Consider the following 23,204-nt stretch of genomic DNA (forward strand, 5'->3'; position numbering starts at 1 on the left):
AACTAGAGAAATAAGAGCAAACCAAACCCAAACCCAGCAGAGGGAAAAAAAATTACAAGGATCAGAGCAGAACTAAATGAAATTGCAATACAAAAATGTATAAAATATAAATGAAACAAAAAGCTAGTTCTTTCAAAAAAAATGATAGACTGTTAGTGAGATAAACCAAAAAAAGAAGGGAGAAGATCCAAATAACTTCACTTAGAAATGAAACGGGAGATATTACTACTGATAGCACAGAAATAAAAAATGATTTAAGACTACTGTGAACACCTTTACACACACAAACTAGAAAACCTAGAGGAGATGGATAAATTTCTGGATATATACAAGCCTCCTAGATTAAATCAGGAAGAAATAGCAACTCTGAATAGACCAATAACAAGTAGTGAGATTGAAACAGTAATGAAAAAAAAAATGCCAACAGCAAAAAAAAGGTCCAGGACTAGATGGATTCACAGATGAATTCTATCAGGCATTTGAAGAAGAATTGGTACTGATCGTAATGAAATTATTCCAAAAGATAAACTGGAAATCCTCCTTAAATAATTCTATGAAAGCCGGGTGCAATGGCTCATACCTATAATCCCAGCACTTTGGGAGGCTGAAGCAGGCAGATCACTTGAGGTCAGGAGTTCAAGACCAGCCTGGCCAACGTGGTGAAACCCCATCTCTACTAAAAATTCAAAAATTAGCTGGGCGTAGTGGCAGGCACCTGTAATCCCAGCTACTCATGAGGCTGAAGCAGGAGAATTGCTTGAACCTGGGAGGCAGAGATTGCAGTAAGCCAAGATTGCACCACTGCACTCCAGCTTGGGCAACACGAGCAAAACTTCGTCAAAAAAAAAAAAAAAAAAAACTCTATGAAGCCAGTATCACTCTAATACCCAAACCAGGAAAAGACATAACAACAACAACAAAAATGCAGACCAATATCCCTGATGAACATAGATGGGAAAATCCTCAACAAAATACTGGCTAACCAAAACCAACAGCATATCGAAAAGATAGCACATCATGATAAAGTGGGTTTTATACTAGGGATGCAGGGATGGTTTAACATATGCAAGTCAATAAATGTGATACATCACATAAACAGAATTAAAAGCAAAAATCATATGATCATCTCAATAGATGCTGAAAAAGCATTTGACAAAATCCAGCATCCCTTTATGATTAAAACCCTAAGCAAAATCAGCATAGAAGGGACATACCTCAAGGTAATAACCATCTATGACAAACCCTCAGGCAACATTATACTGAACAGGGAAAGGTTGAAAGCATTCCCCCTGAGAACTGGAACAAGACAAGGATGCCCATTTTTATCACTGCTATTCAATATAGTACTGGAAATCCTAGCCAGAGCAATCAGACAAGAGAAAGAAATAAAGGGCATCCAAATTGGTAAAGAGGAAGTCAAACCATTGCTGTTTGCCGATGATATGATTGTATATCTAGAAAACCCTAAAGATTCATCCAAAAAGCTCCTAAACCTGATAAATGAATTCAGTAAAGTTTCAGGATATAAAATCAATGTACACAAATAAGTAGCACTGCTATACACCAGCAGTGACCAACCTGAGAATCAAATCAAGAACTCAACCCTTTTAACAACAGCTGTAAAAAATAATATAAAATACGTAGAAATATACCTAACCAAGAATGTGAAAGATCTCTACAAGGAAAACTACAAAATACTGCTGAAATAAGTCATAGATGACACAAACAAATGGGAACACATCTCATGCTCATGGATGGGTAGAATCAATATTGTGAAAATGACCATACAGTCAAAAGCAATCTACAAATTCAGTGCAATTCCTGTCAAAATACCATCATTATTTTTCACAGAACTATAAAAATAAAATCCTAAAATTAATATGGAACCAAAAAAGAGCCCACATAGCCAAAGCGAGACTAAGTGAGAAGAACAAATCTGGAGGCATCACATTACCTGACTTCAAACTATACTACAAGGCTATAGTTACCAAAACAGCATGGTACTGGTATAAAAATAGGCGTGTACATCAATGCAACAGAATAGAGTACCCAGAAATAAAGCCAAATATTTAAAGCCAACTGATCTTCGACAAAGCAAACAAAAACATAAAGTGGAGAAGGACACCCTGTTCAACAAAGGCTGCACCCTAACCACAAATGGTCAAATGGTGCTGGGATTGTTGGCAAGTCACATGTAGAAGAATGAAACTTAATCCTCATGTCTCACCCTATACAAAAATCAACTCAAAATGGATCAAAGACTTGAATCTAAGACCTGAAACCATAAAAATTCTAGAATATAATATTGGAAAAACTCTTCTAGACATTGGCTAAGGTAGAGTTAATGACTAAGAACCCAAAAGCAAATACAACAAAAACAAAAATAAATAGATGAGACCGAATTAAACTAAAAAGCTTCCGCAGAGAGAAAAAAAAATCAGCAGACTTGGCTGGGCATGGTGGCTCACGCCTATAATCTCAGCACTTTGGGAGGCCAAGGTGGGTGGATCACCTAAGGTTAGGAGTTCGAGACCAGCCTGGCCAACATGGCGAAACCCCATCTCTACTAAAAATACAAAAATTATCTGAGCATGGTGGTGCATGCCTGTAATCCCAGCTACTTGAGACGCTGAGGCAGGAGAATCACTTGAACCTGGGAGACAGAGGTTGCAGTTAGCCGAGATCGCATCACTGCACTCCAGCCTGGGCGACAGAGCGAGACCCTGTCTCAAAAATAAAATAAAATAAAATAAAATAAGGCCAGGCATGGTGGCTCATGCCTGTAATCCCAGCACTTTGGGAGGCCAAGGTGGGTGGATCACAAGGTCAGGAGATTGAGACCATCCTGGCTAACATGGTGAAACCCCATCTCTACTAAAAAATACAAAAAATTAGCCGGGTGTGGTGGCAGGCGCCTGTAGTCCCAGCTACTCGGGAGGCTGAGGCAGGAGAATGGCATGAACCCTGGAGGCAGAGCTTGCAGTGAGCTGAGATCACGCCACTGCACTCCAGCCTGAGCGAGAGTGCAAGACTCTGTCTCAAAAAAAATAAACATAAAAATAAAATAAAATAAAAATAATCAGCAGAGTAAACAGAGAACCCCCAGAGTGGGAGAAAATTTTCACAGACTATTCATCCAACAAAGGACTAATACCCAGAATCTACCAGGAACTCAAACAAATCAGCAAAAAAAAAAAATCCCATCAAAAAGTGGGCTAAGGACATGAATACACAATTCTCAAAAGAAGATATACAAATGTCCAACAAACATGAAAAAAATGCTCAACATCACTAATTATCAGGGAAATGCAAATCAAAACCACAATGCAATACCACCTTACTCCTGCAAGAATGGCCATAATTTAAATATCAAAATATAATAGATGTTGATGTGGATGTGGTGAAAAAGGAACACTTTCACACTGCTGGTGGGAATGTAGTACAAACACTATGGAAAACAGTATGGAGAATCCTTTGAGAACTAAAAGTAGAATTACCATTTGATGCAGCAGTCCCACTAATGGGTATCTACCCAAAGGAAAAGAAGTCATTGTATGAAACAGACTTACACACATATGTGCATAGCAATACAATTTGCAATTGCAAAAATAAGGAACCAGCCTAACCCTGATTTCCAGTGGAAATCCTAGGAAGTTATGATGTTAGTTCTGGGCTTGTAAAAGAAAAACAACAGCAAACAAACAAACAAAAAAGAAAAACCTTGGAAGCAAGTAATTTGAGATGGTTTATGTCAGTTTTTGTGATGAAAACTATTTTCTAATGTTTAGAAAGATGTTTCCACAATTTTTTGTTTCTTAACAGAACTAAATATTTAGCTTTTCTGTATCATATAGATGACTCAGACATTTTATGATTAGCTATTACCCAGGTTGACATAACATGACTCTAAGTTATTGAAAAAGATTTTTTAAACAATGTAAAGCTCATTTATAAACTTTTATTTATTCTCTTTTGCAAGTAAACCTTATGGTAAATAATAAAAAACATAAAAAAGTAAATAAAGTTTTATTTATTCTTAGGAAGTATGCTTGAGTAGCTCATTAAACAAAGTTAGCTACTGAAACTGTCTTTGCAGGGCTGAGCAGTGGCTCACGCCTGTAATCCCAGCTCTTTAGGAGGCCCAGGCAGGTGCATTACCTGAGGTCAGGAGTTAGAGACCAGCCTGGCCAACATGGTAAAACTCTTTCTCTACTAAAAATATAAAAAATTAGCCAGGTGTGGTGGTGGGTGCCTGTAATCCCAGCTACTTGGGAGGCTGAGGCAGGAGAACCACTTGAACCCAGGAGGTGGAGGTTGCAGTGAGCTGAGATCACATCATTGCACTCCAGCCTGGGCAACAAGAGCAAGACTCCATCTCAAAAAAAAAAAAAAAAGAAAAGAAAAGAAAAAAAGAAACTGCCTTCGCAAAATTATAACTGAGACAGTGAAAGAAATCTAACTTAACTGACCATCTTGCCTCTAGCATATAAGCTGTCTTTGTTCATTCCATCTTGCCTAGGGACTAGATTGTCTTTGTAGGACTAACATTTGACACAAGATTAGAAATTATGATTTAGGAGTCATGCAGCTGGAGGCTAAAAGATTATGACCCTCCCTAAATTTCTCTCAAGATCAGTGCTTGAGATATTTTGCAGACCCTGCACTTGATGGATCAGCTGGCTCCACCCAGATTGATAAACTGGCTCATCTGATCTTGTAGCCCCTGCCCATGAACTGACTCACTGCAAGAAGACAGCTTCAACTCCCTATGATTTCATCTCTGACCTGACCAATCAGCACTCCTGGCTCACTGGGTTCTCCCCACCCACTAGGTTGTCCTTAAAAATTCTGCTCCCAAAATGCTCGGGGAGACTGATTTGAGTAATAAAACTCTGGTTTCTGCACAGCTGGCTCTGTGTGAATTACTCCTTCTCTATTGCAATTCCCCTGTCTTGAGAAATCAGCTCTGTCTAGGCAGTGGGCAAGGTGAACCCATTGGGTGCTTACACCATCATCTTCAGTTTTTTCTTTGTAATCATGTTTACATTCCACAAATGTTAGGAACTTAACACTTTAGCCAGAACTCTAAAGTTAAATACACGGGTATTTTGTTAATCAGAGGACACGGTTGTTTTCAGTAAATCAACAGTATTAAACTAGTCTTATTTACCAACAATTTACACAAATCATTTGAACTAAAAGGCATTTGAGTTAGCTTATATTTTTCTCATAAAATATATAATTTAAGTGCTTACTTTTTCTTTAACCCAATTAATTAGAGTTTTCGTGTATTTTGGTAATGAAATATCACATCCACATGGCATATATGAACATATATACATACAGACATACAAACAAAAGCAGAGTCTGTAGCTTGATAAACTTCTTCATTTGTCAGGGGGTTTTTTTGTTTTGGTTTTGGTTTTGGTTTTCTTTTTCTTTTTTTTTTTTTTTGAGATGGAGTCTTGCTCTGTTGCCCAGGCTAGAGTGCAGTGGTGTGATCTAAGCTCACTGCAACACCCACTTCCTGGGTTCAAGCGATTCTCCTGCCTCAGCCTCCCGAGTAGCTGGGATTACAGGCGCCTGCCACTGTGCCTGGCTAATTTTTGTATTTTTAGTAGAGATGGGGTTTTGCCATGTTGGCCAGGGTGGTCTCAAACTCCTAACCTCATGATCCGCCCACCTTGGCCTCCCAAAGTGCTGGGATTACAGGCGTGAGCCACCGCACCCAGAAACCATTTGCCAGTTTTTAAATAGTTTCTCTCCCCTCTTTAGACTATGGAGCCCTAAACAACTGTTAGCAACATAACCCTTAATTTGCACTTCCAAAGACATGACTCTTAAGTGAAAATTTACATCCCAAAGGCACAGCACTTAGATCTAAGCACCATTCTCTGCTGAGATGAAGAAGGATATGGGTAAAGATTCAGTCGAAGTGAGATTGCCAGGAAAAGTATCTTAAACAAAGGCAGGGATTGTTATGTAAACTTTAAACCAATGTCTTCCCCATCTTAAGAGTTTTGTGGGTTTTTTGTTTGTTTTTTTTTAGACAAGGTGTCATTCTGTTACCTGGACTGGGGTGCAATGGTGCAATTTTGGCTCGCTGCAGTCTCCACTTCCCTAAGGCCACAAGATTTGAAGTTAGGATAATACATGTTACACTGTTAACTTTTAGCAAACTTTACTTTTGTTGAAAACCATGTAAGTTTGGGATTTTTAATTATCCTTTGCTATTACTAAGACCTCTTTAGTCCAAATCAACTTGGAATTAGTATAGATGGTTCCTTCCTGGTTCTGTAAGTACTTTAAGGCTTGGCTGAGTGCAGAGCTCACACGTTTGAGCAGACTGATTATTAGGCAATTTTCCTAACTCTATTTCTACGAGAGTTTCCCTATCAATTACTGAATACTCGTTGTGTCTTTTTCCCTCAATCAGCCAGGAGAAACCATCCATCATCCTGTCCTGAAGGGAGTTCCTCCTAGGTCTGGTCGGACCTTTGTATGGTAGTTAATTAAGATTTAGATCCCCTGTTAGGAAACCTGCAGGGTTAAGGGAATTATCAGTGGTTAATGTTAAATCATATTTTTCTAACAGAATGGCCTCATATGTTAATATTCTTAAGTCAGTAAGCTGCCTTTTTGCTTTTTTGACTTAGGATAGTTCTGACCTGGTGAGGTGTGCTCACAATGAGGTTTCCTCTAAAAGTTATTTTTGTACTTTCTTCAGTTAGCAAAGCAGTTGCTGCTACAGATTGAATGCATTTGGGCCATCCCCGGGTTACTGGGTTAAGGATTTTTGATAGGAAGGCTACTGGTTGTCAGTGGCCTCCGTGCTTTTGGGATATGCCCTTGTTTACACTGACAACAAGATGGAATAGCTACTTGAGGGTAAATCTAGGACAGGGGCAGTTACTAATAGATGTTTTAACCTTTCCACCTGTTGGATTTCTGGTAATTGCCAAATGAGGAGGGGGTTTTGCCCATCTTGCGTGAGCTTTTTGTATAAGGGTTTTGTTTTTAGGGCATAAGAGGCTATCCATAGATGACAGTATCTGACTTATCTTAAAGTTTTCTAAGTTCTTGTTTGGTCTCCGGCAGAGGCAAGGATATGATACTTTCAGTCCATTCAAGCTCAATTTGCCATTTACCTTTGCTAATTAAATGACTTGTTCTAATATTTGACTAAATAAATTTGAAGACTTCGTAAACCCTTGAGGTAAGACTGTCTATCTGTATTGCTATTTTCAATCAGAGTGAGGGTCTTCTCACTCAAAGGCAAATAGGTCCTGGCTGTCTTCCGTGAACGGACAAACCCAGAAGGCATCTTTTAAATCTATTACCATAACAACAGGGTGGGTAGTTTGGACTTGATTAATAGCTCTAAGGTCTTGCACTAACTGGTGTGACCCGTCTGGCTTCTTTACAGGCAGTATTGGAGTTTTATAGGGTCACGGAGAAGACTTTCAATTATAGGTTTTACATTTACCCTGGCTTTTAAAGGAATAGGGTACATTGCTTTCTCTTTACTACTTCTAGCTCTCTCTCTCTCTCTCTCTCTCTCTCTGACTCTCTGTCTCTTTCTCTCTCTGACTCTCTTAAGTTTTTTTTTTTTTATCCTTCTAATATTTTAACATTAGTCCTGGGGGATTATTGGGGGAATATTATTGTTGCTAGCTTTATTTCTTTTATCCTGTACCTTACTTGGGGTATTTCCCATTTTTGGGGTGAGGCTCAATTTCCCTTACCAGAAATATCTCACCTTTTGGAGGGAGGCTCAATTTCCCTTACTGGCAATGTCTCACCTTTTGGGGTGAGGCTCAATTTCCCTCACTGGAAATGTCTTGCCTTTTAGGGTGAGGCTCAATTTCCCCTACTGGAAATGTCTCACCTTTTGGGGTGAGGCTCAATTTCCCTCACTGGAAATGTCTCACCTTTTGGGGCGAGGCTCGATTTCCCTTACCGGAAATATCTTGCCTCTTTTTAATCCCCAAGATACCCCGACCAAGGAATACTTCACTGCCCCCTGTGGTTTTTCTTTCCTTAGTCCCGGCTAAGGAATGCTTTACCACCCCTACGGCTTCTTTTTCCTTGGTATGTCCCAACCAAGGAATGTTTCACTGCCCCTGCAGTTTTTCTTTCCTTAGTCCCTACCACCAAAGGAATACTTTACCAGCTCCTCCGCTGTTTCCTTCTTTGGCTTGTGCGTGATGTTGTCTGGTCCACGTGGTATGTAAGGATCCTTTACCCCAGGTCACCGGCCAGTTTCTTTCCACATTGCTGAGAGTCTGGGTTTATTCATCACACCAGGTAGGTCTCGGTTCCTCACCCCTGAGGCTGCCGAAATGAGGCGGCGGGGCACCTCCTTACAAGAGAGGACTGGAGACCGCCCAGAGGAGAGTGGGTCCCTGCATGGGCCACCAAACTGTTAGAAATGCAAAATGCTTGTTCCCTGGTGCTGCAAAGAAATAGCACTCAAACATACATTTAATTTTCTCAGCAAGGCAATTTTTACTTTCTGCAGAAAGGGTGCTCCTCACAGATGGAACAATGGTGAGATCATACCAGGACAGGGGAGGGGCAGGAGTTCTTATTCCTGACGCTAGTAGCCCCTACTGCTGTGTTGTTGCCCTAATGGCTAGGATTGGACCGCACAGTCTAAGCTAATTCTGATTGGCTATGTTAAAAAGAGCAGGAGTATGAGCTGGAGTGGTGAGGTGAGTAGTTTGGTGGGAAGGGCAGTTAGGAACAGGTAACTAAAGGTGACTTAGGTCAGAGCAGGTGACCACCAAGGGAACAGCTGTGAACTACTGATTTGGACTGGCGGGAAAGTTGTTTACTGAAACTAGAGGCAAGGAGTTGAAGAGAACTAGGAAGTTAAACTTTAAAATGAAGAATCAAAGAATAAGAGAGCTGGACATACTGACATACTGATTCTTTGAAGAGAAACTTAGGGTTCACTATATTTAACAGGAGGCCGAGACAGGAGGATCGCGTGAGCCCAGGAGTTTGAGACCAGCATGGGCAAAATAGTAAAACCCCATCTTATTAAAAAAAATTTTTTTTTTTGAAATGGGGTCTCTCTCTGTTGCCTGGGCTGGAGTGCATTGGTGCTATCTCCACTCCCTCAACCTCTCAGCCAATCCTCCCACCTCAGCTTCATGAGTAGCTGGGACTACAGGCGTGCACCACCCTGCCCAGCTAATTTTCGTATTTTTTTGTAGAGACAGGTTTTCATCATGTTGCCCAGCCTGGTCTCGAACTCCTGAGCTCAGGCAATCCTCTCACCTCGGCCTCCCAAAGTGCTGGGATTACAGGCATGAGCCACCACACCCGACCTTAAAAAAAATTTTTTTTAATATGTGGAAAGCAGACACGAGTAGAAGCCAGCACAACTAGCTAACTTCCCCTAGTGATAGAGGCAGGAGACAGGCAAATGCCATCTATGTCATTATATATAGGGAGCTTGCCTAAACATGCCCACAGTGGAAAATTCCATCCCTTAACACATGCACAGTAAGAGAAATAAATCAATGCAGAGTGGCCATTTCCTTTATTGCCTTCTGAACATTTACCTTTCTAGTGTCCTTTCTTTTTGCATCTCGCACATTAATCTCTAGCCTCATCCGGCTCTTGAATCCTTGCCTAACTTGACTTCTTTCACATCTACATCCACATCCATGTCCTCTCACGGTGCTAATTTTTCTTTTTATGAGAGCTGTTGCTAACAGATTGGCTTTTTTTTCTTAAGTCTTTAATTTACTTTTTTTTTTTTTTTTTTTTTTTTCTGAGTTCTCCTGCTCCTACGGCCAGCTGGCGGGGCTGGGCAACGGCACGGGCCTTGCCCCCGCGCACTGCTGTCTGTCTCTCCTGTTTTCTTCTGATTCTCTTTTTCACACTTACTCTTAGTGTTTCTTTTTCCTTTGCTCTTTCCCAGTTTTGTTCCTTGGTCACAGTTAACATACACCTTGGTGGCCACTTTTATAGACTAGGTGGTATTCATGCCTGCAGCTTCTGCTTGATGTTACCCTGGGCTTGCTTTACAAATAAAATATTCAGTGCATACTGATTTTCAGCAGCCTCAGGGTTAAGTGGGGTATAAAGCCAGAATGCTTTATAGAGTCTCTTATAAAACTGACTTAGGCTCTTGTCAGCTCCTTGAAGGATTTCTGAAATCTTTTTTATATTACTTGCTTTTTTCTACCAACTTTTAGACTCTGCAGAAGTGCTTCTCAGTACCTCTGCAAATGCTGAAGCTGAATTGCATTCTCTGGGTCTTTTTTTCCCTTTTTTCTAGAGTTTAACAGGCTCTTTTCTTTATACAATTTTTTATGCACTTGGAGGGTTAAACAGGCATACCCAGAGTCAGTGTAAATGTTTACAAGTCTTACCTTCACTGAGTTCTAAGGCCCGAATTAAAGCAATGAGCTCAGCTTAACAACAGTGTCCAGGGTTACCACCGCATATTCTGCACCTCTCTCTCCTTGGGGGTTGATGAAGCTGTTCCCGTCCACGTATAGCTCCCAGTCTATTGATGCCCAAGGCTGGTCCTGGAGGTTAGGTCTGCTAGAGTAAATTTGAGTCCAACACCTCTACACAGTTATGCTCGACAGGGCTTTAGCTGCCGGGAGCAAGGTGGTGGGTTCAGGGTGTTTCCAGTTTAGTAGATCAATGGTTGAAAAGGGCTGATAGATGAAAGTCTGTTGTCCCCCCCAACCCCCCGGATGTGGGCCTGGTCATTATAATAGACAGGTCCTCGTGTCTCCCTGAGAGGCATTTGCATAGCCTCTCAGATCTGAGATGGCCCACTTGACTATCTTGATTTCCTTCCTTGGTCTCTCGAAGCTCCGATCCTCCCCTTCAAGGTAAAACCTGGAGCGTGTTAGCTCCTGAATCTCATTTCTGAGGGGGTTGTTGGCCTCAGTAAAGCGGGGTAGGCTGGGATATATGGAGAAAGAATTTCTGTTATCTCTGGCGGCTCCCGCAAAACTGGCTTCTCTTGCTGTTTCTGGGACTCCCTTTTTAACTCTGTCTGCCGGCGAAGCTGCTCTTTTACTTTTGGCTTTTTTGCAATAAGCTGTTCAACAGGGCTAAATTTATGCTGGTTTTGCCTATATTATATTTAACCATGAGTCAATATAAAGGAATTTGATCTAGGTACACTGGCTGCCCTCTGACCCCTGTCACCACCTTAAATACATGGCCAATAGTTCCCTGTCTATAGTTCCTTCGGTGGGCCATCTAACACCAAAAGAGGGCAATTCTAATTCACACAGAGTTCTTAACCTCTAGGGGGTTAACTTAACTCTATAATCTCCCACAGAACCTTTCCTAAGGTTCTGTAACATGCATTTTAATAGAGTAAGTTTTGATGCTTTGATGACTTTCCTTTTATTTTTCTTTTTGAAATTTTTTAACATAGTTCCTAGCGGAGTGGGCTTACTTTGTGTCTGACCTATTTTTCTCTTGAAACAAAAAAAATTCACACTACAAGAAGGAAAGGGTAAAAGGTCACTCACTCGTCTAATTCACACTAAATCAAAATCAAAACTAAAACCAAAGTGTTGTTAAAGGCACACCTGTTCGTCAAGCAATTTATGCCAAGTCAAAATCAGAACCAAAACCAAAGTACCAATAAAGGCATGCCTGTTTATCAAGCAATTCAAGTCAAGTCAAAATCAAGGTTAAAACCAAAGTATCAAGCAATTCAAGTCAAGTCAAAAACAAAAACCAAAGTGCCAGTACAGACACGCTGTGGGTGATCAGGCCACGCTTCCACTCAAACGGAGTGGGCAAGTTCCAAAGACCAGTCTTACCAAGTTTCAGATGTCCGGACTCCAAGTGCCTGTTCCTTCCCGGTGTTCAGCCACTGCGTTGATCCTCCACCGGGGCCTGCCACGCGCTGCTCTGGCAAGGCGTTCCACTGGGGCAAATGCCTACCCGGGAGCACTCTCAGGATCCGCATTGCTCAAGCCGGAGTCCCCCACAGGGATGCTCTACAGAGCATGCATAAGCTGCCTAAGGGGCTACCTCGACCGTCAGTTAATCACCTCATTTCCCGGTCAGGGAACCAAGAAATGTAGCAGGACGAGCCACAGACGAAACTCCTCAGACACCGAATTAAAGAAGGAAGAGGTTTTTATTCGGCCGGGAGCATCAGCAGACTCATGTCTTAAGAGCCGAGCTCTCCGAAAAAGAAATTCTTGGCCTTTTTAAAGGCTTACAACTTTAAGGGGTCCATGTGAAAGGGTCGTGATAAATCGAGCAAGCGTGGGAAATGTGACTGGAGGCTACATGCATCAGCTAACAGAACAAAAAGTTTTACAGCGCTTTTTTCATACAGTGTCTGGAATTTACAGATAACACAGGTAGTTTAGGTCAGGGGTTGATGTTACTATTATTACTTTTTTTAACTCCTAGGGCCAGGTGGTGGTGCCAAGGTTGTCTGGCTATTTATCTTACTTTTGTTTTTTTCCAACTTTTTGCTTTTTATCTCCTCCTGTCTTGTGAACTAGGCAAGGTGGGGGGAGGAGGGCAGCAGGAGTAGTAGTGGTCTCCTTCCTTAAGACTAAGGGCCAGCATGCACACTGGAAGAATGGGGTGGAGCCACCAGGAATTCATGCCTAATGCTGGAGAGGAGCCACGCCTTTTCAACTTGCATGTGATGGCCTTGTATTCAATTTGTGAGGTGGATACCTGCATATAGGACCCTCCTTTTGCTTAATAAATTCCGCCCTCCTCACCTTTCTTTTCTTTTTTTTGAGACTGAGTCCTGCTCTGTTGCCCATGCAGGAGTGCAATGGCATGCTCTTGGCTCACTGCAAAACTCTGCCTCCCAGGTTCAAGTGATTCTCCTGCCTCAGCCTCCTGAGTAGCTGGGACTACAGGCATGTACCACCATGCCTGGCTAATTTTTTGTATTTTTAGTAGAGATGGGGTTTCACTAATTTGCCCAGGCTGGTCTTAAACTCCTGACCTCAAGTATCTGCCCACCTCAGCCTCCCAAAATGCTGAGATTACAAGTGTGAGCCACCGCACCTGGCACCATCCTCACCTTTCAATGTTTCTGCGTGCCTAATTTTTCTGGATTTAGCTGAACCAAGGAACAAAAAATTCTGCATCATTAGTTGTGCTGGCTTCCACTTGTGCCTGCCAGTATCCCACATTTACATTTAATCTTGGGTTCCCAAAGACAGGAACCCCATGAGACCAGGCCACACAGTGCTTCCACAGCACACCTTTCTGTAAAGACATTCCCCTGAGGCTAGTGGGCAACCCAATGCAAATCAGCCCACTCTGTGATCAGCTCATCTTCCATCAGAGTCTTAACCATTGGTAGTGAATGTTCCCACAACCTCCAGGTGTTCAAACCTGCCTTTTAATCTAAGTGCGTAAAGAACAAATAGCCCATTGCAATAATAATCATTCACTACAACCCTGTCAGCCACTTTCCAGGTTTTGCCAGTGACTCGTCAGCCACTGCACACGCAAAAGTCAAGTTCTCTCTCATAGTAAAAAGTAATTCCTGGTACCCCAAAAGCCAAAGATCAGGTACTACTTTTAACAGCTCTTGGCCTGGCACAGTGGCTCATGCCTGTAATCCCAGCACATTGAGAGGCCGAGGCGGGCAGATCACCTAAGGTCAGGAGTTCAAGACCAGCCTGGCCAACATGTTGAAACCGTGTCTCTACAAAAATACAAAAATTAGCCGGGCATCATGATGGGTGCCTGTAATCCCAGCTACTCGGGAGGCTGAGACAGGAGAATTGTTTGAACCCAGGAGGTGGAGGTTGCAGTGAGCCGAGATCGCACCACTGCACTCCAGACTGGGTGACTGAGACTCCATCTCAAAAAAAAACAACAACAAAAAACAGCTCTTAGAATTCTTCATTAGTTACAATTTTGTTTCCTCCGTGGCAATATGAATTGCAATTTGTGAATTAAAAACATTAGAATTTGAAAAAATTTTGGCTGGACATGGTAGCTTATGCCTGTAATCCCTAGCACTTTGGGACGCCGAGCGAGGCAGGCAGATCACCTGAGGTCTGGAGTTCAAGACCAGCCTGACCAACATGGTGAAACCCCTTCTCTACTAAAAAAATACAAAAATTAGCCCAGTGTGGTGGCGCATGCCTGTGGTCCCAGCTACTCAGGAGGCTGAGGCAGGAGAATCGCTTGAACCCGGGAGGCAGAGGTTGCAGTGAGCCAAGATCATGCCACTGTACTCCAGCCTGGGTGACAGAGTGAGACTCAGTCTCAAAAAATAAATAAATAATAATAAATAAAATAAAATAAAATTCAAAATTATCTGGACATCTGAATTTTATCTGACATGCCCTTTCATCATATTGCTATATCCTTTGTCTTTCCTCAATTATATTTTATCAAGAAGGCCTTTTCCAACCATTTTATTTAGTATGGCTCCCCCACCTCCACTTCTCTCATAAATTGTTCTGGCCCTAGCACCAGCATACAGCATAGTTTCCTGTTTATTTGCTTAGTGTCTGTCTCCTTCAGTATAGAATGTAATCTTGTGGCGGTCATGGTGGCTAACACCTGTAATCCCAGTACTTTGGGAGGCTGAGGCACGTGGATCATTTGAGGTCAGGAATTCAATACCAGCCTGACCAATGTGGTGAAACCCTATCTCCACTAAAAATACAAAAAAATTAGTCTGGCATGGTGGCACAAGCCTGTAGTCACAGCTACTCAGGAGACTGATGCAGGAGAATTGCTAGAACCCGGGAGACAGAGGTTGCAGTGAGCTGAGATCGCACCACTGCACTCCAGCCTGGGCGACAGAGTGAGACTCCATCTCAAAAAAAATAAAGTAATCTTGTGAGGGCAGGATTTTGATGCTATGTTCACCACTGACTCCAAAATGGCACATAGCGGGCTCTCAGTAGATATCTATTGAACAAATGGAAGCATAAATAAACAAGCAATGCTACACTTGCTTTCTCCAGCACCATGGGAGCAGATCCAGGGAGCAGACAGGGAAAGAAGGCTACAGCCCCTGCCCCCTGGTGGAGCTGGAAGAATCAATAATTTTCATTTATTTATTCATCTAATGTGCTTTGCACGCTCCCTATCTGCCAGGATCAGCTTGTTGCCAGGGATACCGGGTAAACAATCCCATAAGGTTCCTGTGGTCTGGAGGAAGAAACAGACATTAACGCACAATAGGGAGATGGTTACTTAATTATAGTGGTGAACTGTCAATGAAGGAAAAGCAAAAAAAAAAAAAAGGTCTAACCTGGTATAGGGGTCAGGGGAGACTTCCTCAAGGAAGGGATATGGAGTTGAGGCCTGAGGCTGAGCATGAATTAACTGGAGGCAGAGCTCTGTGGGTGGAGATGTCATTCCAAGCAGGAAGCCCGGTTAATGCAGGTACCTTGATAGAAGGAAGGCCAGGGTGAGGAAAAAGGCCGGGTTACAGGCAGTTACTAGGAACCTTGTGGCCTGACTTGTTGCTGAGGAGGAAGCAATAGCCAGCTCAGAGGGCCTTGTAGTTCAGGTGATGCCCCATTTCTGTGTTAGTCTATTTTTGCGTTGCTATAAAGAAATACCTGAGGCTGGGTAATTTATACAGAAAAGAGGTTTAATTTGGCTCACAGTTTAGTAGGCGCCAGGAAGCATGGCGCTGGCATCTGCTCCTGGTGAAGGCTCAGGGAGCTTTCAATCATGGCGGAAGGTGAAGGAGGAGCAGGTGTGTCACATGGTAAGAGTGGGACAGAGAGACAGAGACAGGGAGAGAGAGAGTGCAAGAGAGAGCAAAGGAGGGAGGAGGAGCCAGCCTTCCTTAAACAGCCAGCTCTCATGTGAACTAACAGAGTAAGTACTCACTCATCACCACGGGGAGGACACCAAGCCATTCATGAGGGATCCGCCCCCAAGACCCAGACACCTCCCACCAGGCCCCACCTCCAACACTGGGAATCGCATTTCTTTTTCTTTGTTTTTTAATTTTGTACTTTAAGTTCTGGGATACATGTGCAGAACATGCAGGTTTGTTACATAGGTATACATGTGCCATGGTGGTCTGCTGCACCTATCAACCTGTCATCTAGGTTTTAAGCCCCACATGCATTAGGTATTTGCCCTAAAGCTCTCCCTCCCCTTACTCCTCCCCCATAGACCCTGGTGCGTGACATTCCTGTCCCTGTGTCCATGTGTTCTCATTGTTCAACTCCCACTTATGAGTGAGAACATGTGGTGTTTGGTTTTCTGTTCCTGTGTTAGTTTGCTGAGGATAATGGCTTCCAGTTTCATCCATATCCCTGCAAAGGACATGAACTCATTCTTTTTTATGGCTGCATAGTATTCCATGTTGTATATTTGCCACATTTTCTTTATTCAGTCTATTATTGATGGACATTTGAGTTGGTTCCAAGTCTTTGCTATTGTAAATACTGCTGCAATAAACATACATGTGCATTTGTCTTTTTTTTTGAGTCAGAGTCTCGCTCTGTCGCCCAGGCTGGAGTGCAGTGGCAAGATCTCAGCTCACTGCAAACTCCGCCTCCCAGGTTCAAGCAATTCTCCTGCCTCAGCCTCCCGAGTAGCTGGGATTACAAGCGCACGCCACCATACTCGGCTAATTTTTTGTATTTTTAGTAGAGAAGGGGTTTTGCCATGTTGTCCAGGCTGGTCTCAAACTCCCAGCCTCATGATCTGCCTGCCTCAGCCTCCCAAAGTGCTGGGATTACAGGTGTGAGCCACAATGCCTAGCCATGTGTCTTTATAGTAGAATGATTTATATTCCTTTGAGTATATGCCCCATGGGAGGGAATCACATTTCAACATGAGATTTGGAGGGGACACACATCTGAACCACATCACACAGCATATTCCCAACTCCAGCTCCCTCCTCTCCACAAGAATGTAGGATACCCATCACTCCCAGGATCAGCTTCCTTGAGCCCAATCCTCTGTAACTCACTGAGATGCTATGAAGTGCCTGGTAGGTGCCACACTGTGCCACAGTCATGCTCCAAGACAGTGTGGAGTGAGGGCCAGAGGGCCAGGAGGCAGGATTGGTTTGGAGACATTGCCTTTCTTCAAACCTCAGTTTCCTCTTAAATCAAATAAATGATTGCAGAAGATAAGCTCATATTAATTCCATTTCTAGGAAAAATCTGTGTTCCAAACAGTAGCACTGACTAATGGAAAGTACAACTGGCTGTTTCCCTTGAACAGTGGGTTTATTGTTGTTTTTCCAATTATAAAAGTAATAAGATTATTTGTAAACTATAGAACAGTAGAAAAAGTTTCTTGAATGAGATTTGGTTTTCAATCAGGGCAAATAAAGACTTTTCTGGGATTAAGAGGGCTGTTTCTTCTCCATTACTTTATACGGACCCGTACTGGGGACTTGTCAGCTGTTCAAGTACAACGCACCCAGTTTTGGTTCTGTACCAGGATTAGGCCTACAATATTTCAGAATTCATATACAAACCCCAATAAAGTGTTAAAGGAGATGACTGCCCTATAACCTATGTTTTGCTGAATGTTTACTATGAGGTTTTTTTTTTACCATCCTCATGAGTATGGTATTGTAACTGAAACTCTCCAGGAAAATTCCTCTGCTTAAAACTAAAAATCAAGTGTATCTCAGGAAACTCTACTGTCCCATCTGAAATGCCTCTGTTGTGTGTTGTCTGCAAAGGTGGAGTCTCCCTGTTTTGTTCAGGCTGGTCTCGAACTCCTGGGTTCAAGGAAATCTCTCTCCTCACCCTCCTGTGTAGCGGGGACTGTAGGCACCTGGCTGTGGTGGATACTATTAAGCCAAATTCCAGTCAGCATCCTCTTTTCAATGAAGTTGAAAGGAGAGATGATGAAACTGGCAGTGTTACTGAATGGGAAATAAAGGTGGGAATACACATTGTGAGTGAAGACACGGAAGTAACTTCTGCAATACAACCTTGTAAGAGTCTTAATGCTACACTCCTTTGTTTATCAAATGATGTACCTTTATCGTAAGGGAAGAACCTGGGCCATTCCCTCTGGTGTTGAGAGGCAATTTGGAAACTCTGCCATTTCTTAGGACTGAGTATTTAATATACTATTTTGTGGAAATCTGAGAGGCAGAAATGGGATTTAATGATCTCAACTGTCATCCATCTAAAAAACCTAATTTGCAATTTTAAATAAAATGGCATGTTGCCTTCTACTATTCTCTTTTTGTTTTTTGAGACGGAGTCTTGCTCTGTCACCCAGGCTGGAGTGCAGTGGCACAATCTCAGCTCACTGCAACCACTGCCTCCTGGGTTCAAGCGATTCTCCTGCCTCAACCTCCCGGGTAGCTGGGATTACAGGCACACGCCACTATTCTAGGCTAATTTTTTTATTTTTTGAGACGGAGTCTCGCTCTTTGCCCAGGCTGGAGTGCAGTGGTACAATCTCAGCTCACTGCAACCTCTGCCTCCTGGGTTTAAGCGATTCTCCTGCCTCAGCCTCCTGAGTAGTGGGATTACAGGTGCGCACCACCACGCCTGGCTAATTTTTGTATTTTTAGCAGAGACGGGGTTTCACCATGTTGGCCAGGCTGGTCTCAAACTCCTGACCTCAGGTGATCTGCCTGCCTCAGCCTCAGCCTCCCAAAGTGCTGGCGTGAGCCACGGCTCCCAGCCTACTATTCCCCTTTTAAAACAGGAACCAACCCTGCATTTAATTTTATGAAGTCTGATTTATTTATTTATTTATTTATTTATTTATTTATTTAGAGATGGAATCTCATTCTGTCACCCAGGCTGGAGTGCGGTGGCGCAATCTCGGCTCACTGCAACCTTTGCCTCCTGGGTTCAAGCGATTCTCCTGCCTCAGCCTCCCGAGTAGCTGGGACTAAAGGTACCTGCCACCACGACTGGTGAATTTTTGTATTTTTAGTAGAGATGGGGTTTCACGATGCTGGTCAGGCTGTTCCACTATGTTGGCCAGGCTGGTTTCAAACTCCTGACCTCAGGTGATCCGCCTGCCTCGGCCTCCCAAAGTGCTGGGATTACAGACGTGAGTCACTCTGCCCAGCCGAAGTCTTATTTATGAACAAAATTTGTGTTATTAAAAAGAAAGTAGTCAGGTACGGTGGCTCATGCCTGTAATCCCAGCACTTTGCAGGGCTGAGGCGGGTGGATTGCCTGAGGTCAGGAGTTCGAGACCAGCCTGGCCAACATAGTGAAACCCCATCTCTACTAAAAATACAAAAAATTAGCTGGGTGTGATGGCGGGCACCTGTAATCCCAGCTACTAGGGAGGCTGAGGCAGGAGAATCGCTTGAACCTGGGAGGCGGAGGTTGTGGTAAGCCACGATTGCACTCCAGCCTGGGCAACAAGAGTGAAACTCCGTCTCAACCAAACAAACAAAGTAGAAAAAAATAAAATTTTCTCTGTCTCATTATCCAAAGATAACTAGTATTAAAATGTCTCACTGTATACATTACTCTTGTTTTTTTTTTTTTGTTTTTTTTTTTTGTTTTTGAGATGGAGTTTCACTCTTGTTGCCCAGGCTGGAGTGTGGAGTGCAATGGCATGATCTCAGGCCACTGCAACCTCCACCTCCCAGGTTCAAGTGATTCTCCTGCCTCAGCCTCCCGAGTAGCTGGGATTACAGGTATGCGCCACCACGCCTGGCTAATTTTTTGTATTTTTAATAGAGACAGGGTTTCTCCATGTTGGTCAGGCTGGTCTCGAACTTCCAACCTCAGGTGATCCTCCAGCCTTGGCCTCCCAAAGTGCTGGGATTACAGGCATGAGCCACCACGCCCAGCCATACATTACTCTAGTTTTAACACAGCCATCATCGAACTCTATATTAAATACTGAGTTTAGTTGTTTTCATTTATTTCAACAATAATCATTTGGCTTTATTATAATGAGTTTTTCATGATTACAGTACTATTTCACAGTACTATTCTCCTATAGTTGAGTGTTTTAGTATCATTTTTTACATTATTAATAATATTGCAATTGGTATTTTGGTACAGAAAGCTTTTATTGTACTTAGAATTATTTCCTTAGGCTAGAGTCCCAGAACAAAGATCAAAAAGTACAAACATTTTTAAGGTTCTTGACACTTTAAAAATGACTTTCCAGCAGGGCACGGTGACTCATGACTATAATCCCAGCACTTTGGGAGTCCAGCAGTTTGAGAGCTGCCTGGGCAACATAGCAAGAACCTGCCTCTGTTATTTAAAAAAAAAAAAAAAAGATTTAAAAAATTACTTCCCAAAAGCATTTGCTAGTATACATGCCCACTGGCAATATAAGTCTCTGTCTCTTGTAATTATTTTTTGAAAATATCTGCAATTTATTGGGGTGGAAGATTTTCTGAGGTGGTGTCATATTTTGGGATGGTGTGTCCCGAGCCCCAACAGAACATATTCTGAATCCAAAACCTCAAAATTGGCTAAGACCCAAAATGTTGGTCATTTGCATTTGGCAGATTAAATGAAACAAATCACCTTTCCCCCACTGACAATTCCCCATCAGGGATCACCAAGGGCCAGAAAAAGGCCAGGGACTCTGGTAGAAGTCGGGTACAGTGAGGTCATCGCAAATGGCTTTTTTCCGGGCTCTGTCACAACCTGGGAGAATATTCCTAGGGATGACAGAGCTGGGGAGGGCACACCCAGATTCTGTTTCTTACCCTCCTTCCGGCACTGCAGGTAAGAACTGTGGTTTTGATCTGTAAATGACTTGATGATGAACATCTCCAGTGGAAGTGGGCAGTCTAGGCCGAGGCTCACTAGGGGAGAGAGGCAGGCCTGAGGGAAGGTGAGAGGCACCAATGTCAGCATGACAAAGGATACTCCTCTGTCGCAGCAAGGCTTGGCAAGTGCCTCCCACAGCAAAAGGCTTCTACAAAGCTGGCAGCATCCAAAAGTCAGCATCAAACTTAAGCAAACAGAAAGAGGTTATTTAATTCCCTTTAACTAATGTGTATCTATATGGGTATATATATATATATGTGTGTGTGTGTGTGTGTGTATATATATATATATAAATGTTAAGAGGGGTTATTTCTGAATTTCTGAGATGATGAGTCATCTTTATATTCTTCTTTATACTGGTATATTATTTGTAAATTTCTAAAATAAACAACTACCATTTTCAAATTGAAAACATCCAGACTCCATAAATCATTGTAAAAATACTTTAAGTGAAAACTCAATTGGAAGGAAATTCTAGTTAAATATGGCAGATGAAACATCAGAATTTATTTCTTCTTCCTACTTGAAACATCACTAATGTTAACAAAAGTATTAAAGCAGGCATAAATCCAAAAGACAAAGAAATAGGAGAAAGAAGATGACAATAGCTTGGAGATGTCCACAAAGTAGAGGAAGCCAAAAAGTAAGGCACAGAGAACTAGCACTACACAGAGAAAGCTGCCGCTGGCCAGGCGCTGTGGCTCACGCCTGTAATCCCAGCACTTTGGGAGACTGAGGCAGGTGGATCACAAGGTCAGGAGTTCGAGACCAGCCCAGCCAACATGGTGAAACCCCATCTCTACTAAAAATACAAAAATTAGCTGGGTGTTGTGGCGTGCACCTGTAATCCCAGCTACTTGGGAGGCTAAGGCAGGAGAATTGCTTGAAGCCAGGAGGTGGAGGATGTAGTGAGCCGAGATTGTACCACTGCACTCCAGCCTGGGCAATAGAGCAAGACTCTGTCTGTGGTGGGGGAGTGGCAGGGAAGAGAAAGCTGTTCCTTATGGCTGCTGCAGGGCCTGGAAGTCGAGGAGTCCAGTGGGAAGGAACAGGCACAGGGGAGGGCAGGATGGGGCTAACAGCAGGACTGCTTGTTAGTCTGTTTAGAAGCAGGCTGTGCCCCATAGAACAGGGCCTGACCCATCTAGATGCTTAATAAACATTTGTTAATGATGCTTAATAAACATTTGTTAATGAGTGGGTGAAAGGGTAAAGGAATGGCCTTCCAGTTGGAACTGAGGCCTCTCTGGTTGCCCTGTTGAGAGGGCACATCAGAAGAACCTTTCCACATTGAGACATTGAATCTGTGCCCCCAGGGCCAAGACCACATTATGGTACTGGCACTCAAGGGCTAAATGCACACGCACCCCGTGTTCAGTGTCAAGCCTCCCTTGGTGTGGCTGCTGCTGCTGCCCCCTGCCCTCAGCCCATAGGAAGAGCCCAAGGAAATGGCTGGGACAGAGGGAAGAGGAACAGCTGGGGCTGGGAAGCAAGGATGAAACTTGGCTGACTGCACCTTCAGTGCAGACCTCTGCATGTGACCCTGTTCCTAAGCCCAAATGCACAGGGGCCTTGAGCATCTGTGGACGGGACACCACGGAAGCACGCACGCCCCTCTCCTTTCCTGCTGGAGGATGGACCTCTCTCTCCCAAGCCAGGCTTCCCTGCCTTCAATGATTCTGGACGAGCACTGCACCAGCCACTTGCCCTAGGGAGGGGATTGTTTCACAGACCCTTGACACCTAACAAACAGTCCTGCTCCCACCTAGGGGGACCCACATTTATCAAATACTGTCTTTAATTTACACTGGTTGCATTCTCTCTGCCAGCCTGTGAGGAAAAACCATTTTCCCAGTCTGAGGAAATGGAGGCTCCGATAAGCTAAATAACAACCCCCAGTCCAGTCTCTGCACCTGGGCCTGGCAAAGATTCCTCCGAGAGCTTTCCAGATTCCACACTTGCTGACTGTGGCTTCCTCTAGGCAGGGCACTGGCTAGCCCTGGGGACACTCAAAGGTAAATGGGCCTTGTTTTTTCCTTCCAGGAGTTTGCTTATCTTAGAAGAGACTGGAAAGTAGCCAAGTGGCTACAGAGCACGAGTCAGAATAGGGTCACTGTTGTAGGAGCACAAAGGAGAGAAAGAAATTCAGGTAGGGCTGGCAGGAAGAGTTCAGGGACCTTTCTAAGGAAGGAGAACTCCTGCTGACTCTTGGGAGAAAGAAGGGCTCTCCAAGCAGTTTGGCAAGGAAGTCCATCCGGTGCAGGGGGACACACGTCAGTCATGGTCAGCTGGGACAAGCTGGAGGGCAGCCTCAGAGGCTAAGGGCTGGTAGGGCAGGGGCTGAACCTTAGGCAGCTTCCCTGGCAGCACTTGTAGTCCAGCTTCTAGGAGGCAGAGTCTGGGTGGGAACACCTGAGGATGAGGAGGTATTAGAGCAGAAACCAGAGCTGGGCAGCGGGAACAGAGAGGAAGACCAACAGGAAGGACACTGCTGAGGGA

General features: G+C 43.4%; 1 long non-coding RNA gene across 1 annotated transcript in view, besides 1 other annotated feature; it reads left to right on the forward strand.

Annotated features, from left to right (window-relative positions):
• NIFK-AS1 (NIFK antisense RNA 1) overlaps positions 1–23,204 on the forward strand; it is a 78,907-nt gene that overhangs the window by 24,830 nt on the left and 30,873 nt on the right. The window lies entirely within an intron of this gene.
• Positions 5,575–6,077: an enhancer, noted in NCBI's record as "OCT4-NANOG hESC enhancer chr2:122437634-122438136 (GRCh37/hg19 assembly coordinates)". NCBI's record gives its function as "activates a minimal SCP1, AML or CMV promoter by ChIP-STARR-seq in naive and primed H9 embryonic stem cells {active_cell/tissue: H9 hESC(naive and primed)}" and the evidence as "EXISTENCE:reporter gene assay evidence [ECO:0000049][PMID:30033119]".

The sequence above is a fragment of the Homo sapiens genome, chromosome 2 (assembly GCF_000001405.40).
Source record: "Homo sapiens chromosome 2, GRCh38.p14 Primary Assembly".
NCBI lineage: Eukaryota > Metazoa > Chordata > Mammalia > Primates > Hominidae > Homo > Homo sapiens.